Below are 19,572 nucleotides of genomic sequence, written 5' to 3' on the forward strand. Positions count from 1 at the left end.
GCTTCAAGCAATCTTTCCACCTAGGTCTTCCTAAGCACTTGGATTATAGCGTGAGCCACGATGCCCAGCCCCTCCTTTTCTTTTAAGGGAGAAATTCTACATTCTCTCTGAAGAAAACTTGTAAACTGATATCGTCTTCATCAGATTTTTGGTGTTACCTCTTTTTTTTTTTTTTTTTTTAAGGATCTCATTGAAGTACAACTCTATTTTTTCTTTATCTTACCAATTTAATATTTGGTTCTAACCAGTTTCTTTGATGTGTACATTTTCACGCCATAAAAATATGTTTAACTGTTGCAGATTCATGGTACTTTGTATCAACACCTTATGTTGCCATGTTTTTAATTTTTATTTTATTATACTTTAAGTTCTGGGATACATGTGCAGAACGTGCAGGTTTGTTAAGTAGGTATGCACGTGCCATGGTGGTTTGCTGCATCCATCAACCTATCATCTACATTAGGTATATCTCCTAATGCTATCCTAGTCCTCCACCCCACATGATGTTCTCCTCCCTGTGTCCATGTGTTCTCATTGTTCAGCTCCTACTTATGAGTGACAACATGCAGTGTTTGGTTTTCTGTTCCCGTGTTAGTTTGCTGAGAATGATGGTTTTCAGCTTCATCCATGTCCCTGCAAAGGACATGAACTCATCCTTTTTTATAGCCGTATGGTATTCCATGGTGTATATGTGCCACATTTTCTTTATCCAGTCTATCATTGATGGGCATTTGGGTTGACTCCAAGTCTTTGCTATTGTGAACAGTGCTGCAGTAAACATATGTGTGCATGTGTTTTTATAGCAGAATGATTTATAATCCTTTGGGTGTATACCCAGTAATGGGATTGCTGGGTCAAATGGTAATTCTGGTTCTAGATCCTTGAAGAATCGCCACACTGTGTTCCACAATGGTTGAACTAATTTACATTCCCACCGACAGAGTAAAAGTGTTCCTACTTCTCCACATCTTCTCCAGCATCTGTTGTTTCCTGACTTTTTAATGATCGCCATTCTAACTGGCATGAGATGGTATCTCATTGTGGTTTGGATTTGCATTTCTCTAATGACCAGTGATGATGAGCTTTTTTTCATATGTTTATTGGCTTCATAAATGTCTTTTGTTGAGAAATGTCTGCTCATATCTTTCAACCCAAATGCCCATCAATGATAGACTGGATAAAGAAAATGTGGCACATATACACCATGGAATACCATGCGGCTATAAAAAAGGATGAGTTCATGTCCTTTGCAGGGACATGGATGAAGCTGGAAACCATCATTCTCAGCAAACTAACACAGGAACAGAAAACCGAACACTGCATGTTCTCACTCATAAGTGGGAGTTGAACAATGAGAACACATGGACACAGGGAGGGGAACATCATGGGGGGTGGGGGACTAGGGGACACTTTTTGATGGAGTTGTGTTTTTCTTGTAAATTTGTTTAAGTTCTTTGTAGATTCTGGATATTAGCCCTTTGTTAGATGGGTAGATTGCAAAACTTTTCTCCCATTCTGTAGGTTGCCTGTTCACTCTGATGATAGTTTCTTTTGCTATACAGAAGCTCTTTAGTTTAATTAGATCTCATTTGTCAATTTTGGCTTTCGTTGCCATTGCTTTTGGTGTTTTAGACATGAAGTCTTTGCCCATGCCTATGTCCTGAATGGTATTGCCTAGGTTTTCTTCTAGGATTTTTATGGTTTTAGGTCTTACGTTTAAGTCTTTAATCCATCTTGAGTTAATTTTTGTATAAGGTGTAAGGAAGGGGTCCAGTTTCAGTTTTCTGCATATGGCTAGCCAGTTTTCCCAACACCATTTATTAAATAGGGAATCCTTTCCCTGTTGCTTGTTTTTGTCATGTTTGTCAAAGATCAAATGATTGTAGATGTTTGGCGTTATTTCTGAGGCCTCTACTCTGTTTCATTGGTCTATATATCTGTTTTGATACCAGTACAATGCTGTTTTGGTTACTGTAGCCTTGCAGTATAGTTTGAAGTCAGGTAGTGTGATGCCTCCAGCTTTGTTCTTTTTGCTTAGGATTGTCTTGGCTATACGGGCTCTTTTTGGTTCCATATGAAGTTTAAAGTAGTTTTTGTCTAATTCTGTGAAGAAAGTCAATGGTAGCTTGATGGGGATAGCATTGAATCTATAAATTACTTTGGGCAATATGGCCATTTTCACCATATTGATTCTTCCTATCCATGAGCATGGAATGTTTTTCCATTTGTTTGTGCCCTCTCTTATTTCCTTGAGCAGTGGTTTGTAGTTCTCCTTGAAGAGGTCCTTTACATCCCTTGTAGGTTGTGTTCCTAGGTATTTTATTCTCTTTGTAGCAATTTTGAATGGGAGTTCACTCATGATTTGGCTCTCCATTTGTCTGTTATTGGTGTATAGGAATATGTGATTTTTGTAGATTGATTTTGTATCCTGAGACTTTGCTGAAGTTGCTTATCAGCTTAAGGAGATTTTGGGCTGAGACGATGGGGTTTTCTAAATATACGATAATGTCATGTGCAAACAGAGACAATTTGACTTCCTCTCTTCCTATTTGAATACCCTTTATTTCTTTCTCTTGACTGATTGCCCTGGCCAGTACTTCCAACACTATGTTGAATAGGAATGGTGAGGGAGGGCATCCTTGTCTTGTGCCAGTGTTCAGAGGAAATGCTTCCAGCTTTTGCCCATTCAGTATGATATTGGCTGTGGGTTTGTCATAAATATCTCTTACTATTTTGAGATCCGTTCCATCAATACCTAGTTTATTGAGAGTTTTTAGCATGAAGGGCTGTTTAAGTTTACTGAAGGCCTTTTCTGCATCTATTGAGATAATCTTATGGTTTTTGTCACGGTTCTGTTTATGTGATGGATTATGTTTATTAATTTGCATATGTTGAACCAGCCTTGCATCCTGGGGATGAAGCCAACTTCATTGTGGTGGATAAGCTTTTTGATGTGCTGCTGGATTCAGTTTGCCAGTATTTTATTGAGGATTTTTGCATCAATGTTCATCAGGGATATTGGCCTGAAATTTTCTTTTTTTTGTTGTGTCTCTGCCAGGTTTTGGTATCAGGATGATGCTGGCCTCATAAAATGAGTTAGGGAGGAGTCCCTCTTTTTCTATTGATTGGAATAGTTTCAGAAGGAATGGTACCAGCTCCTCTTTGTACCTCTGGTAGAATTCGGCTGTGAATCTGTCTGGTCCTGGGCTTTTTTTGGTTGGTAGGCTATAAATTACTGCCTCAATTTCAGAACTTGCTATTGGTCTATTCAGGGATTTGACTTCTTCCTGGTTTAGTCTTGGGAGGGTGTATGCATCCAGGAATGTATCCATTTCTTCTAGATTTTCTAGTTTATTTGCATAGAGGTTTTTATAGTATTCTCTGATGGTAGTTTGTATTTCTGTGGGATCAGTGGTGATATCCCCTTTATCATTTTTTAGTGCACCTATTTGATTCTTCTCTCTTTTCTTCTTTATTAGTCTGGCTAGCGGTCTATCTACTTTGTTAACCTTTTCAAAAAACCAGCTCTTGGATTCATTTGTTTATTTTTTTTTGGAAGGGTTTTTTGTGTCTCTATCTCCTTCAGTTCTGCTGTGATTTTAGATATTTCTTGCCTTCTGCTAGCCTTTGAATTTGTTTGCTCTTGCTTCTCTAGTTCTTTCAATTGTGATGTTAGGGTGTCGATTTTAGACCTTTCCTGCTTTCTCCTATGAGCATTTAGTGTTATAAATTTCTCTCTGAACACTGCTTTAGCTGTGTCCAGAGATTCTTTGTTTACACTGTGTGGGGAAAACCACCTACTGAAGCCTCACTAATGGTGGACGCCCCTGTCCCCACCAAGCTCGAGTGTCCCAGGTTGACCAGACTGCTGTGCTGGCAGTGAGAATTTCAAGCCAGTGGATCATAGCTTGCTGGGCTTCATGGGGGTGGGATCAGCTGAGCTAGACCACTTGGTTCCCTGGCTTCAGGCCCCTTTCCAGGGGAGTGAATGGTTCTATCTTGCTGGTATTCCAGGAGCCATTGGGGTATGAAAAAACTTCTGCAGCTAGCTTTGTGTCTGCCCAAACGGCTGCCCAGTTTTGTGCTTGAAACCCAGGGCCCTGGTGGTGTAGGCACCCGAGGGAATCTCCTGGCCTGCAGGTTGAGAAGACGGGAAAAGCTTAGTATCTGGGTCAGAATGCACCATTTCTCATGGCACAGTCCCTCAGGACTTCCCTTGGCTAGGAGAGAGAGTTCCACGACCCCTTGTGCTTCCCGGGTGATCGCCTCGCCCTGCTTTGGCCCGCCCTCCATGGGCTGCACCCACTGTCTAACCAGTCCCAGTGAGATGAGCCTGGTACCTCAGTTGGAAATGCAGAAATCACCTGCCTTCTGCCTTGATTTCGCTGGGAGCTGGAGACGGGAGCTGTTCCTATTGGCCATCTTGACAGCCACCCCCTATTTATGTATGTATGTATGTATGTATGTATGTATGTATGTATGTATGTATTTATTTATTTATTTATTTGGAGACGGGTTCTTGCTCTGTCGCTCAGGCTGGAGTGCAGTGGTGCGATCTCAGCTCACTACAATCTCTGCCTCTTGGGTTGAAGCGATTCTCCTGCCTCAGCCTCCTGAGTAGCTGGGACTACAGGCGCATGCCACTATGCCCGGCTAATTTTTGTATCTTTAGTAGAGATGGGGTTTCACCATGTTGGTCAGGCTGGTCTCGAACTCCTGACCTTGTGATCCGCCCACCTCGGCCTCGCAAGGTACAGGGATTACAGGCGTGAGCCACTGCGCCCGTCCCCCCACTATTTTTTTTTTTTGGCATTGTTAAGACAAACCCGCTGAGAAAGAGCAAGGTTATGAATCATATCTCCCAGGATTGTGTGGAATAAAGGAGATAGTGTACATAATGTCCTTAGCTCATGTCTGGAGCATATAAGTGCTCAGATAATGCTGGCTGGTAACTATTAGTGTTACTGTATTCCTCAGGTCTTATGTTTAAAATTATTTAACAACAGAGACTATGTACTATATACTTTATGTATTATAGACTCTATTTTACACATTAATATATTTTTCTTCTCATCATAACTTTTAATGTTTTATCTTTTGTCTTGCAGTGATGAAACTACAGAATCTGTTTGTAGATGATTCAGGTCGATATTTGGCTATTCAATTCCATCTGGAATGTGCATATGTGTTTTTATATTATTATGAGTACAGAAAAGCAAAAGATCAGTTGGATATTGCTAAGGACATCAGCCAATTACAAATTGATTTGACAGGTAAGACTTATTTTTTGTGGATAATTGATTTTATTTTTATGATAAAACTATATACATTGGCAGTTTGTATTGTATGTTGGTATTAGATTTTCTATATCCTATTTGCTTTACAAAAGTAGACTTTAAAGGTTTTATTTACAAATTTATAGTTTATAACAAATTTGAAATGATATATTTTCCTTATTTCTAGAGTTTTCCATTTATTGCGCTGATCTGTTTAGCCGTGTTAGTAATAGATAGCAGCCAGGCAGTACACAAACACACTTTTGAGCCTTTGGGGGATGGGCCCATAGGGGTGTTTCCTGACCAAGTTTGGCCTCTCTGCATTGCCCTTTCTTGTAAATACCCACCTATTCTTTCCATCTTGCTTTTTTTTTTTTTTTGAGACCGAGTCTCGCTCTGTCGCCCAGGCTGGAGTGCAGTGGCGTGATCTTGGCTCACTGCAACCTTGGCCTCCTGGGTTCAAGCAATTCTCCTGCCTGAGCCTCCCTAGTAGCTAGGATTACGGGTGCCCACCACCACGCCTGGCTAATTTTTTTTATTTTTTTTTTGTATTTTTAGTAGGGATGTGGTTTCACCATGTTGGCCAGGCTGGTTTTGAATTCCTGACCTCAAGTGATCCGCCCGCCTTGGCCTCCCGAAGTGCTGGGACTACAGGTGTGAGCCACCACGCCCAGCCCACATTCTGTGCTTCTTAGAGAGCTAGTTCTATCAGTAAAATCCTTCCAATATATTATGAATAAATATGATTTTGTGGGCTTGTCTTGGATCTTAGCTACCTTTTGTTACATTGTGTGTGTGGGCAAAATTGTTTAATATCCAGCTTATAACTTGGAACACTGGCCAAGTATAAGTTGGAACAATGGCCATGTGTAAGTTGTCTGTATATGAAAATGTATGTAATGTATCTTGTGAGGTTAGTTTCAGAAGTTATGTTTTTAAATATTTTGATTCTAGGAGGCTTTTTTGGGACTATTGATGCCATAATACTTAATTGTTGGTATATTTACTAGCTAGTTCTTCATATTTTGTTTTCTAAGTTAGAGTTGAAGAACTTAGAAATACAAATGTGATGTTCACAAATATGAGAATCAGGTTATTCTTTTTTTCCACTCATCTATAGCCTTCCTATAAAAAATAAACTGTGACAGGTGCTGTGACTCATGCCTGTAATCCCAGCACTTTGGGAGGCTGAGGCGGGCAGATCATGAGGTCAGGAGATCGAGACCATCCTGGCCAACATGGCAAAACCCGCCTCACTAAAAATACAAAAATTAGCTGGGTGTGGTGGTGCATGCCTGTAATCCCAGCTACTCTGGAGGCTGAGGCAGGAGATTTGCTTGAACCAGGGAGTCGGAGGTTGCAGTGAGCTGAGATCGCACCACTGCACTATAGCCTGGCAACAGAGCAGGACTCCATCTCATAAAAAATAAAATAAAATAAAATAAAAAAGTAAGCTGTATCAAACAATTTCAGTGGCTATCTTCAGCATAACATATTTAAAAGGTTAATGTATGACTTAGAGCCAGACTCATAACAGGATAAAATCCAGACTTTCTAGACTGGTCTTTGTAATCAAGGATCTTTGTAATCTGACCTTGTCCAGAGAGTGGATGTTGGAACTTTTGCTTTTCTTAAAGTGGTTTGAAAACAGCTATTCTGCAGTAAGTTATTTCAGAGACATAATGAAAAAATTTTGGTCTTACATGAAGTCAGATAGTGTAATAAACTGTTGATATAGAACCAAAAGATCCTGGCTTTAAGCTCTGGTTCTGATGCTGAGAAGCCCTGTGATCATGAACAAATGACTGTATTCTTTAGAACTTTTGTTTCTGTCATCTGTGAAAAAGAGATAATAATAGTTCTTCTACCTACAACACTCAATGTGTTACTTTTTTTTTTTTTTTTTAAAGGGTGGTAGTTTGATGCAAAAATTAGTATGTGGACTGTAGTGGCAGAAATCCTGGGTTTGAGTCCTGGTACCAGAGCTTGTTGGCTTTCTAATTTTATAAGTCATTTAAAACCTGAGGCTGGGCCTCAGGACTTTCTTATGTGAAATGGAGAAAATACCTTGTAAACTCTAAAGCACTCTGAAAATATTACTCTTCATGACTGTACAGTAGATCTCATGGGTAAGTCAGTAGATATAATTTTATTGTTTTTTCAGGTGCTTTGGGAAAAAGAACACGGTTCCAGGAAAATTATGTGGCACAACTGATTCTAGATGTAAGAAGGGAAGGGGATGTCCTTTCAAATTGTGAATTCACTCCAGCACCCACTCCTCAGGAACATTTAACCAAGGCAAGTAGGACATTAAGTTATTAAATTCAATTAACACCTGAGTCTAAGAATTTCAATAGCTGAGTACCATAGAAACACTGAATGGGTTGGGGACAGACTTCATTTTATTCTTTCTTTTGCCTTTTAAAGGTTGCTGAGTCAGGGAGAACTGGTGTTTAACTGGTGTTTTTTTTTCCTAACCTGTGATAGAAAAAACTGGTGTTTTTTTTTTCCTAACCTGTATATAGAGATAAATACTGTTTTTCTTCTAGGATTCAATAACTATGAATTAATGATGCAGTTAGTTATGTATTACCCCTCTTGAAGAAATACGAAAGGCAGACTGGGTGTAGACCAGTTTCTCTATCTGCTATCATATTTGTTTCCTTATGTTTGTCTTCTCTTGGAATCTCTTAGGCTTTTTCTAAATATATAAACATTATCAGAATTCCTTTTCACTAGTTTTGTGATCGGCCTTTTGTTTCTCTGTCATTATTGGGGGGGTGGTTGCCTTAGTATGTTTATTTGACATGTCTAGTGAATTCTCTTCTTTAGTTTGAATTATGACTCTTGGTCAGTTTACCTAATTATAGTCCACTCCAGCTGCTTCCATGAAGCCGTTTAGTATTTATGCATGTGTTTTCTGATCCCAGAAACCCCCAACTACTTTTTTTTTTTTTTTTTTTTGAGATGGAGTCTCACTCTATTGCCCAGGCTGGAGTGTAGTGGCGTAATCTCGGCTCAATGCATCCTCCGCCTCCTGGGTTTAAGCGATTCTCCTGCCTCAGCCTCCCGAGTAGCTGGGATTACAGGCATGCACCACCACGCCCGGCTAATTTTGTATTTTTGGTAGAGACAGGGTTTCTCCATGTTGGTCAGGCTGGTCTCGAACTCGCAACCTCAGGTGATCCACCCGTCTCGGCCTCCCAAAGTGCTGGGATTACAGGCGTGAGCCACCACACCTGGCTGTGTTTGTTGTTTTTTAATGTGGAGTTGTTCTATAGAAAAGTATCTCCCAGTGATTGACCTGGCATGGTGGCTCATGCCTGTAATCCCAGCACTTTGGGAGGCTGAAGTGGGTGGATCACTTGAGGTCAGGAGTTCGAGCCCAGTCTGACCAAAATGGTGAAACCCTGTCTCTATTAAAAATACAAAATTAGGCCAGGTGCAGTGGCTCACGCCTGTAATCCCAGCACTTTGGGAGGCCAAGGTGGGTGCACGAGGTCAGGAGATTGAGACCATCCTGGCTAACATGGTGAAACCCCGTCTCTATTAAAAATACAAAAAAAAAAAATTAACCGGGCGTGGTGGCGGGTGCCTGTAGTCCCAGCTACTCAGGAGGCTGAGGCAGGAGAATGGCGTGAATCTGGGAGACGGAGCTTGCAGTGAGCCGAGATCATGCCACTGCACTCCAGCCTGGGTGACAGAGCAAGACTCCGTCTCAAAAAAAAGAAAATAAACAAAAAAACAAAATTAGCCAGTTGTGGTGGTGTGTGCCTGTAATCCCAGCTACTTGGGAGGTTGAGGCAGGAGAATTGCTTGAACCCAGGAGGTGGAGGCTACAATGAGCAATGAGTGCAATTGCATCATTGAACTCCAGCCTGGGCAACAAGAGCAAAACTCCCTTTGAAAAAAAAAAAAAAGAAAAGAAAATTATCTCCTGGTGATAAATAGGATATGATGAGTATTATGAGAAATGTATGAAAATGATGTACCATTTAATACAGAATTTTAATCGTTTTTTTGCTTGTTCTTTCTTTTCTTTTCTCCTTTTCTTCTTTCTTCCCTTCCTCCCTCCCTCCCTCCCTCCCTCCCTTCCTTCCTTCCTTCCTTCCTTCCTTCCTTCCATTTTTAAATGGAGATGAGTTCTCACTATATTGCCCAGGTTTGTTTCAAACTCCTGGGCTCAAGCAATCTTCTTGCCTCAACCTCCCAAAGTGCTGGGATTCACCATGTAATACATGTTACAGGGTTAATGTGGTTAACATTTTTAATATATTACATGTGGCTATCAGAAATTTTTTCAGAATTATTTTATTTTAAAAATTTTGGCTGGGCGTGGTGGCTCACGCCTGTAATCCCAGCACTTTGGGAGGCCGAGGTGGACGGATCATGAGGTCAGGAGATGGAGACCATCCTGGCTAACACAGTGAAACCCCGTCTCTACTAAAAATACAAAGAATTAGCTGGGAGTGGTGGCAGGCGCCTGTAGTCCCAGCTACTCCGGAGTCTGTGGCAGGAGAATGGCGTGAACCCGGGAGGCGGAGCTTGCAGTGAGCTGAGATCGTGCCACTGCACTCCAGGCTGGGCGACAGAGTGAGACTCCATCTCAAAAAAAAAAATAAATCAATAAATAAAAAATAAATTTTACCTGTTTATCTATTTAGAGACCAGGTTATGAGACTGGCTAATTTTTGTATTTTTGGTAGAGATGGGGTTTCACCGTGTTGCCCAGGCTGGTCTCGAACTTCTGGGCTCAAGCCATCCACTTTCCTCAGCCTCCCAAAACTGTTGGGATTATAGGCATGAGCCACTGCACCGGCCAGAATTTAATCTTTTGTATGTGAAATAAAATACATTCAGATAATCTTATGGTCTTTGTTAATTACTACTTGAAGATGGAGAGTACAAGTTGTATGCTGTAGGTATGGATTAGATAGAAACATAGCTTTATTCTAATGGGTGGAAGAGAATTGTTAAGTTGGTTATATATCATATTACCTTGTGTTAAACACATTATTAGATTGTAATATACACCATCTGTTTAATAACCATTTTTCAGGAAAAGGAAAGGAACACTACTATACCATTTATAGTGATTACAAAACATATCCTGATTGGAAATGTTACAACATGGCCCGGTGTGGTGGCTCACGCCTGTAGTCCCAGCACTTTGGGAGGCCGAGGTGGGAGGATCACTTGAGGTCAGGAGTTCGAGACCAACCTGGCCAACATGCCGAAACCCCATCTCTGCTAAAAATAGAAAAGATTATCCGGGCGTGGTGGTGTGTGCCTGTAATTCCAGCTACTTGGGAGGCTGAGGCAGGAGAATCGCCTGAACCCAGGAGGTGGAGGTTGCAGTGAGCCGAGATCATGCTACTGCACTCCAGCCTAGGTGACTAAGTGAGACTTTCTCAAAAAAAAAAAAAAAAAAGAAAAGAAAGAAATGTTACAATGTGAAAATATGTATTTTAATTTTTTTATTTTTTATTTTTTTTGAGATGGTGTCTCATTCTGTAGCCTGCCTTAGCCTCCGAGTAGCTGAGACTACAGCCACATGCCACCACGCCCGGATAGTTGTTGTATTTTTAGTAGAGACGAGGCTTCACCATGCTGGCCAGGCTGGTCTCGAACTTCTGACGTCGGGTGATCCGCCCGCCTCAGCCTCTCAAAGTGCTGGGATTACAGGCATGAGCCACCGCACCTGGCTTCTGTCTAGCTTCATTTGGCTCCTAAAGTCCTCTTTTTTTGTTGTTGTTGAATTAGAAAAAAATTTAACCCAAGATTATTGAGGAATAATTTATATAAAATATACCGATTTTAAATTACACTTTGTTGAGATTTAACAATTAGACGCGTGTCACCACCACCACAATGAAAAAAAGTTTCTCCAAAGAGTGCCGCCATAGTTCTTTGCAGTCAGTCAGTTGCTGTCATAGATTAGATCTGTCTTTTCTAGAATTTCCAATAAATGGAATCATACAGTGTATAATCTTTTGGTCTGGCTTAATGGTTTCAAGATTCATCCATGTTGAAATACCAATATGAACTGTTGGTGGACATTTAAGTTATTTCTAGCAGGTATTACTAATAAACCTGCCTAGAAAATATGTATGTAAGTCTTTGTGTGAACGTAAGTTTTTTTTTTTCTCTTCTTTTTTTATTTTTGAAATGGAATCTCGCTCTATTGCCCAGGCTGGAGTGCAGTGGCATGATCTCAGCTTACTGCAACCTCCACCTCCCGGGTTCAAGTGATTCTCCTGCCTCAGCCTCCCGAGTAGCTGGGAGTACAGGTATACGCCACCATGCCTGGCTAATTTTTGTATTTTTGGTAGAGACGGGGTTTTTGCCATGTTTGCCAGGCTGGTCTCGAACTCCTGACCTCAAGTGATCCACCCACCTTGGCCTCCTAAAGTGCTGGTATTACAGGCGTGAGCCACCATGCCTGGCCTCTCTTGCCCATTTTTAATTTGAGTTGTTTGTCTTCTTATTGAGTTCTAAGAGTTCTCCATATTCTGGATGCAAGTCCCTTTTCAGATATATGTTTTGTCAGTATATTTGGATCTGGAGCTTGACTTTTTGTCTTAACAATGTTTTCAGAGAACAGAAGTTTTTAATTTGATGAAGTCTAATTTATGAAGTTTTTCTCTTATAATTCATACTTTTTGTATCCTAATTAAGGACTGACTGCCTTTCCATCTCAGGGTTACAAAGTTTTTTTTAATGTTTTCTTCTAGAAGTTTTTTTAGCTTTAGCTTGTATATTAAGGTCTGTGATTAATTTTGATTTAATTTTTGTGTATGATTGAGATAAACGTGAAGGGTCATTTTTTTTTCCAAATGGATATCCAGTTGTTCTGACATCATTCATTCACTTACTTATTTTTTGGAGAGACAGGGTCTTGCTGTGTTACTCAGGCTGATCTCAAACTCCTGGCCTCAAGCTTCCTCCCACCTTGGCCTCCCAAAGTTCTCTAATTTCATTTATTGAAAGGCTTTACCTGTTGAAACACCTAGGTAGCTATATTGAAAATCAATCCATCATATATGCATGGGTCTAAAATTTTGAACTGTATTCTATTCCATTCACTTTATATGTCTGTCTTTATGCCAGTACTATACTGTCTGGGCTTTATAGTAATTCTTGAAATCAAGTACTTCCTCATATTTTATTCTTTTAAAAATTGTTTTGGTTATTGTCGATCATTTGCATTTCCATATAAATTTTAGAATGAGCTTGTCACAGTTTGGCATTTCCATCATTGATAACAAGCTATTTGTGAGAAATTTCTCAACTGATCACACTATATTGCTGAGACACAGAGTTGGGAAGTTGATGTTTTTGATTAGAATTTAGAGGCAGAATAGAAAGATCCAGTTTTGAATCCTGATGCTATCACATACTTTGAGTGTGATCTTGGATGAGCTTCAAGTATCTGATTCTTTGTTTTTTCATCAGTAAATAAGGATAGAAATGCCTATTGTCTATGATTGTTGTGAGGAAGAATTTGAAAAATGTATATAAAATTATCTGCAGAGGGGCTTTTGCATACTTGGCTCAATCAGTGATAGCTGTTATTCCCTATTATTGTCATTGTTAGTGCATTCTTGAGGTATAGATGGCACATCTTTCATTTCTGGAAGGTAAATTGTTTCCAAATATGTGTTTCACAAGAAATAGCCTATTGACCATATGTCAAACAGGTAAGTTAACTTTATCCTTTCTAGCAATCTATTACATGCCATTCTGGTGAATGAATAAAATTTAATTTTTGGTCTAAGTATTTTCTTTTGTATTCTACTAGAATCTTGAGCTCAATGATGACACCATTCTGAATGACATAAAGTTAGCAGATTGTGAACAGTTCCAGATGCCGGATCTGTGTGCTGAAGAGATCGCTATTATTCTTGGAATCTGGTGAGTTAATGACTGACTTGGCTGCTTTGAACACTTTGCATATTGATTCTCTTATGTGTGGAGAATCTTTATTCAAGGAGGTTCCAAGAGTTCTGGATGAATAGGGAATTTTGTAGTGCTTATGAAGATCAGAGGAAATACTTGGAGAACCAATTAAAGGGTTAGATATTACAAATCTCCAATGAGTTGATATATCTATTCTTCTGTTTCCTTTATAAGCACAATTTCTTTGGTTAGCTTTAGCTAGGAATAGATTATTAATAAAATATTAAAGACAAATGAGAATGACTATTTTGAGATTTGAGGATATTTACATTTCAAAGGATAGGATTATTTTTTAATACTGTGGAACCTTATCTATGGTGGAAATAGTTTTAACTTTTTTTTCTGATTAGAAATAATTTCAAATTTGTGAAAAATGTTTAAGGGCAGGACAATACATATAACTTCTAAGAATAAGTTTCCAAGATGATGCTGTATCATTCCTGAATAATTTAGTGTATATTTCCAACAAATAATGTTATTTTTGTACATAGTCACAATACAGCTATCAAAATCAGAAAATTAATGTTGGTACTTTGCTATCATTTAATTCTCAGACCCCATTCAAATTTTGCTAGTTGTTCAGATACTCTCTTTTAGAAAAGATCCAGTCTAGAATATATGTATTACATTTAGTTTTCTTGTCTCTTTAGTCTTTGTCAGTCTGGAATAGTTCCTCATTTTTGCTTGACTTGCATGATCTTGACACTTGAAATTTACAAGTCCATTACTTTTAGACTTTCCTTCAATTTGAGTTTGTCTGATTTTTTTTTTTTAATAGTTGGATTCACCTTATGCATTTTTTTTTTTTTCCTAAGATGGAGTTTTGCTATTGTTGCCTAGGCTGGAGTGCAATGGCACAATCTTGGCTCATTGCAACCTCCGCCCCACGGGCTCAAGCGATTCTCTTGCCTCAGCCTCCTGAGTAGCTGGGATTACAGGCGCACACCACCATGCCCGGCTAATTTTTTTGTATTTTTAGTAGAGATGGGGTTTCGCCGTGCTTTCCAGGCTGGTCTCGAACTCCTGACCTCAGCTGATCCGCCCGCCTCGGCCTCCCAGAGTGCTGGGATTACAGGCATGAGCCACCACACCCGGCCACCTTATGCGTTTTTAGCTGGGATGTCAGAGAAATGAAGTTTTGTTATTCTCATTGCATCCTAGCAGGTAGAATATGATTTGGGTTTGCCCCACTACTGGTGATGTTAACTTCAATCACATGATTAAAGTGGTGTTTGCTAGGCTTCTCCAAAGTTATTCATTTATTTTGTAATTAACATTTTATTGACCAGGTGCGGTGTCTTATGCCTGTAATGCCAGCACTTTGGGAAGCCGAAGCGGATGGATCACCCAAGGTCAGGAGTTTGAGACCAGGCTGGCCAACATGGTGAAATCCTGTCTCTACTAAAAATACAAAAATTAGCTGGGTGTGGTGGCAGGCGCCTGTAATCCCAGCTACTTGGAAGCCTGAGACAGAATCGCTTGAACCGAGAGATTGCAGTGAGCTGAGATCACGCCACTGCACTCCACCTGGGTGACAGAGTGAAACTCTGTCTCAAAAAAATACAAATTCTTTGAAAGGTAATTTTAGACTAAATGAATATCCCATTTGTCATCAAGAGATTTATTAATATTCAAAATAGAATCCCTCACAAAGCTATAATATTGATACCAGTTAAATTAGTAATGGACAACTTAAGAAAGGGAACATTTGAAAAAATCTTGTTCTTTTTTTTTTTTTTGAGACAGAGTCTTGCACTGTCGCCCAGGCTGGAGTGCAGTGGCGCGATCTCGGCTCACTGCAACCTCCGCCTCCCAGGTTCAAGCAATTCTCCTGCTTCAGCCTCCCAAGTAGCTAGGATTACAGGCATGTGCCACCACACCTGGCTAATTTTTGTATTTTTAGTAGAGACGGGGTTTTGCCATGTTGACCAGGCTGGTCTTGAACTCCTGACCTCAGGTGATCCGCCCGCCTCAGCCTCCCAAAGTGCTGGGATTATGAGGGTGAGCCACCGTGCCCAGTCAAAATCTTATTCTTTTAATTCAGTAGAACTCACCCTTTGGTGTTCACCTTATAGCATTTTACTTCATATATGCAATAGTAAGTTTTCTTTTATATAAAAGTTGAATTCAGTTCTACAGTTCCTTTTTATTTTAAAATGGATCACACATACAGAGTTCTGTTTCTAAAGCCAAAGCAATTTTCCTGTAACATTATTTATTCCAGTGACAGAATTTTTTTTTTTTTTTGAGACAGAGTCTCGCTGTGTCACCCCAGGCTGGAGTGCAGTGGCGCGATCTCGGCTCACTGCAAGCTCCACCTTCTGGGTTCATGCCATTCTTCTGCGTCAGCCTCCTGAGTAGCTGGGACTACAGGCGCCCACCACCACAGCTGGCTAATTTTGTTTTATGTATTTGGTAGATATGGGGTTTCACTGTGTTAGCCAGGATGGTCTTGATCTCCTGACCTCGTAATCCGCCCACCTCGGCCTCCCAAAGTGCTGGGATTACAGGCGTGAGCCACCGCACTTGGCCCTCCAGTGACAGAATTTATGTTTACTGCATAAAAAATACTTGTTCAATCCATAACAACATTTAGTATGTTAATAATATGAATAGCAACCATTTATCAACAATAGTATGTGGTAGGCATTATACCATGTACTTTCACATTAACCCTCATTAATAGTCTAACAACACCAAGCGTTGTTATTTTTCTCAATTCTTCAGGTGGGAAAACAAGGCTCAAATAGCTAAATGACTTCTTCAGAATTACAGAGTGGCAATTAGGATGTGAATCTAAGTTTTACTGACCCCAAATTCTGAGTTCTTCTTTATGTTACTTAAGAAAATGTTATTTTGGCAAGTTCATAATTGTCATCTCATCAGGAAATTAAACTATGCCAAATAAATGTATTCCCAGGCATTATGTCAGCTGAACTATAGCTATATTGAGGTAAACTTTACATTTAAGAGAGGACTAAAAATCCAGAAAATGCTCATCTTTTCTGGATACTTGTTTTTCCCAAAGGAAGATCTCAGTGGAATTTCAATATATAGAGCAGATAAAAGCACAGAATTGATTTCACCGGCAGTTTAACTCTTCATTGTTTGGTAGAAACCACTTGCTTATTTTCTGAATCTTAGTGCATCTGATGCAGTTTATAAACCTGTGGTTAGAATAGTAATGAATTTATGATTTGCATGTACTAAGTTACTGTGGGGTTTTTAAATAGTGATTTTCTTATATTGGCTGATCTCTGTCTGATCCCTGTGGTCGCTAACCCCCATGAAGAGGTGACTTAGACATTGTGTTAGGCTGGGTTGGTTTGGAAAGGAGACTTAGAGAAGGTGAATTCTTTTTTTTTTGTTTTGTTTTTTTGAGACGGAGTTTCACTCTTGTTGGCCAGGCTAGAGTACAATGGTGCAATCTTGACTCACTGCAACCTCCGACTCCCAGGTTCAAGCGATTTTCTTGCCTCAGCCTCCTGAGTAGCTGGGATTACAGGCGCCCACCACCATGCTCATCTAATTTTTGTATTTTTAGTAGAGACAGGGTTTCACCATGTTGGCCAAGCTGGTCTCGAACTCCTGATCTCAGGTGATCTACCCGCCTCAGCCTCCCAAAGTGCTGGGATTACAGCTGTGAGCCACTGTGCCTAGCCTGAGAAGGTGAATTCTTATACATTGTAGATTGGTACAACAGTGGGGATAGCTTCAGGCTCCTTCCCTAGACTCTTGCTGTTCACTGGCCTCCTGCTTGAGTTGGATTTTTACCTGACGACCAAATGCTGGAACTTGCCCCACCTCTCTTATACCTCATTCTACCTGAGGTATGAATGCTTGTATGCATTCATGTGTGTTTGTCTTGTAGGTGTTTTTAATAAAATCATTTCATAGTTCTTTCCTCTTCCCTTCATTGATTTTTTTTCTTTTCCAACAATAAAAATCGGTTCATTTAAAAATTATTATATAAACAATTTATGGTCATTATAAAATCCTTAAACAGTATTGAAAATTATAGGGATATGTTATATTTTATAAGACAGTGTTTTCTTTTCATTCTGTTTTTTTTTTTTTTTGGAGATGGATTCTTGCTCTGTTGCCCAGGCTGGAGTGCAGTGGCACGATCTTGGCTCACTGCAACCTCTGCGTCCTGGGTTCAAGCAGTTCTCTGCCTCAGTCTCCTGAGTAGCTGGGATTATAGGCACTTGGCACCATGCCCAGCTAATTTTTGTAGTTTTAGTAGAGACGGGGTTTCACCATCTTGGCCAGGCTGGTCTTGAACTCCTAACCTCGTGATCCACCTGCCTTGGCCTCCATAAGTGCTGGCATTATACGCATTAGCCACTGCGCCTAGCCTCTTTTCATTCTTAATATATGAAATATTTATATACATTTATATGCCCTTTAAAATTTGTTAAATTAATATATGGAATATTTGGAATTACATTCCATATATATATCCACTTATATATATTCCATATATATTATTATTATATGTGGAATGTTTCATATATTAAGAATATTTAATATTCCATTTGGAATAGTCTAATAATAAAAAGAACTCTGGTGAAAAGTTAACTGTTATGCTGAATCTAATGTTTGTCATTTTCTTGCCTTTTAAAAAAAATTTTAATTTCATGTTTTGTATGCTTGTAAGTCAGTTGCTTAAATTTGCTTGTTTTTGAGCTTTATAAAAGTGGTATCTTATAATAAATATATAGTCCTCTGTGATTTGCTTGTTTTCTCTCATTATTGTATTCCTGTGATGCATGTTGTTATATGTAGCTGCAATTTACTTTGCAGTATAGCATTCTGTTGGATGAATATACAACAATTTGTCGTTTTCCTTTTGGGCATGGATTGTTTCCAGATTTTTCCTATTATACACAATATTGCTATGGATATTTATGTATCTCATTCTTGATATATCTGTTCAAGAATTCCTCTGGTCTCTCTATCTAGGATGGAAGTACTGAGTCGAGGATATGTGAATGTTCACAAAGAATAGTGCCAAACTGTTTTCTTCTTTTTTTTTGAGATGGAGTCTTGCTCTGTCACTCAGGCTGGAGTGCAATGGCGCAATCTTGGCTCACTGCAACCTCCGCCTCACAAGTTCAAGCAATCCTCCTGCCTCAGCCTCCCAAGTAGCTGGGACTACAGGCGTGCGCCACCACCCCCAGTTAATTTTTTGTATTTTTAGTAGAGATGTGGTTTTACCATGTTGGCCAGGATGGTCTCGATCTCTTGACCTCATGATTCATTCGCCTGCCTCAGCCTCCCAAAGTGCTGGGATTACAGGCATGAGCCACCGTGCCCGGCCCAAATTGTTTTCTAAAATGATCCTACCAATAATGTAATTGATCCTGGATCAGCAAGATCTAAGAATGCCCATTGTTCTGCCTCCTTGACAGCTGTTATAAAAACATTTTTATTTTTTTGGCATGAGTTTAATAAATAAGACTTGGTGTCATAATAATTCTTTTCATTTTCTTTGCTGAGTGGCACATATTGAATTTCTTTTTTCCTAGGAGGGTAAATTATGTTGGCTGCACAGTGGCCCATGCCTGTAATCCAAACACATTGGGAATCTGCGGTGGGCAATCACTTGAGCCCAGGAGTTCAAGACCAGCCTGGACAACACAGTGAAACTCCATTTCTACAAAAATAGAAAAATTAGCTGGGAATGGTGGCGTACGCCTGTAGTCCCAGTTACTCAGGAGGCTGAGCTGGGAGGATCCCTTGAACTCAGGAGGTGGAGGTTGCAATGAGCCAAGTGTGTGCCACTGCACTGCAGCCTGGGTGACACAGTGAGCCCTGTCTCAAAAAAAAAAAAAAAAAAAAGATAAATTATGTTGACATTTAGTACACCAATCGCATTTTATTTGTCAGCATTTTATTTTTATACCTTTATACTTTATACCTTATATCTTTGACAAACTCTACATTTGTATATAATGCCATAGTATTTATTTATTTATTTATTTTTTAATTTTTTGTTTTGTTTTGTTTTTTTGAAACAGAGTCTCGCTCTGTTGCCCAGGCTGGAGTGCAGTGTCGCGATCTCGGCTCACTGCAAGCTCCGCCTCCCGGGTTCACGCCATTCTCCTGCCTCAGCCTCCCGAGTAGCTGGGACTACAGGTACTTGCCACCACGGCAGGCTAATTTTTTGTATTTTTAGTAGAGACAGGGTTTCACCTTGTTAGCCAGGATGGTCTTGATCTCCTGACCTTGTGATCTGCCCGCCTCGGCCTCCCAAAGTGTTGGGATCACAGGTGTGAGCCACTGTGCCCGGCCCCCATAATATTTAAATATCTGCTTTCAAATATATAAAATA

General features: G+C 39.8%; 1 protein-coding gene across 5 annotated transcripts in view; it reads left to right on the forward strand.

Moving 5' to 3' along the window:
- The window catches only part of TTC27 (tetratricopeptide repeat domain 27), a 193,002-nt gene that overhangs the window by 31,145 nt on the left and 142,285 nt on the right, over window positions 1-19,572 (forward strand). For all 5 annotated transcript variants that reach the window (NM_017735.5, XM_011532958.3, XM_005264416.3 and 2 more), the window contains exons 6-8: window positions 5,109-5,273; window positions 7,441-7,574; window positions 13,078-13,190. In NM_017735.5, the coding sequence (NP_060205.3) occupies window positions 5,109-5,273; window positions 7,441-7,574; window positions 13,078-13,190 (412 nt within the window). The remainder of the gene's footprint in view (window positions 1-5,108; window positions 5,274-7,440; window positions 7,575-13,077; window positions 13,191-19,572) is intronic.

Source organism: Homo sapiens, chromosome 2 (assembly GCF_000001405.40).
Source record: "Homo sapiens chromosome 2, GRCh38.p14 Primary Assembly".
In the NCBI taxonomy this organism is placed as follows: domain Eukaryota; kingdom Metazoa; phylum Chordata; class Mammalia; order Primates; family Hominidae; genus Homo; species Homo sapiens.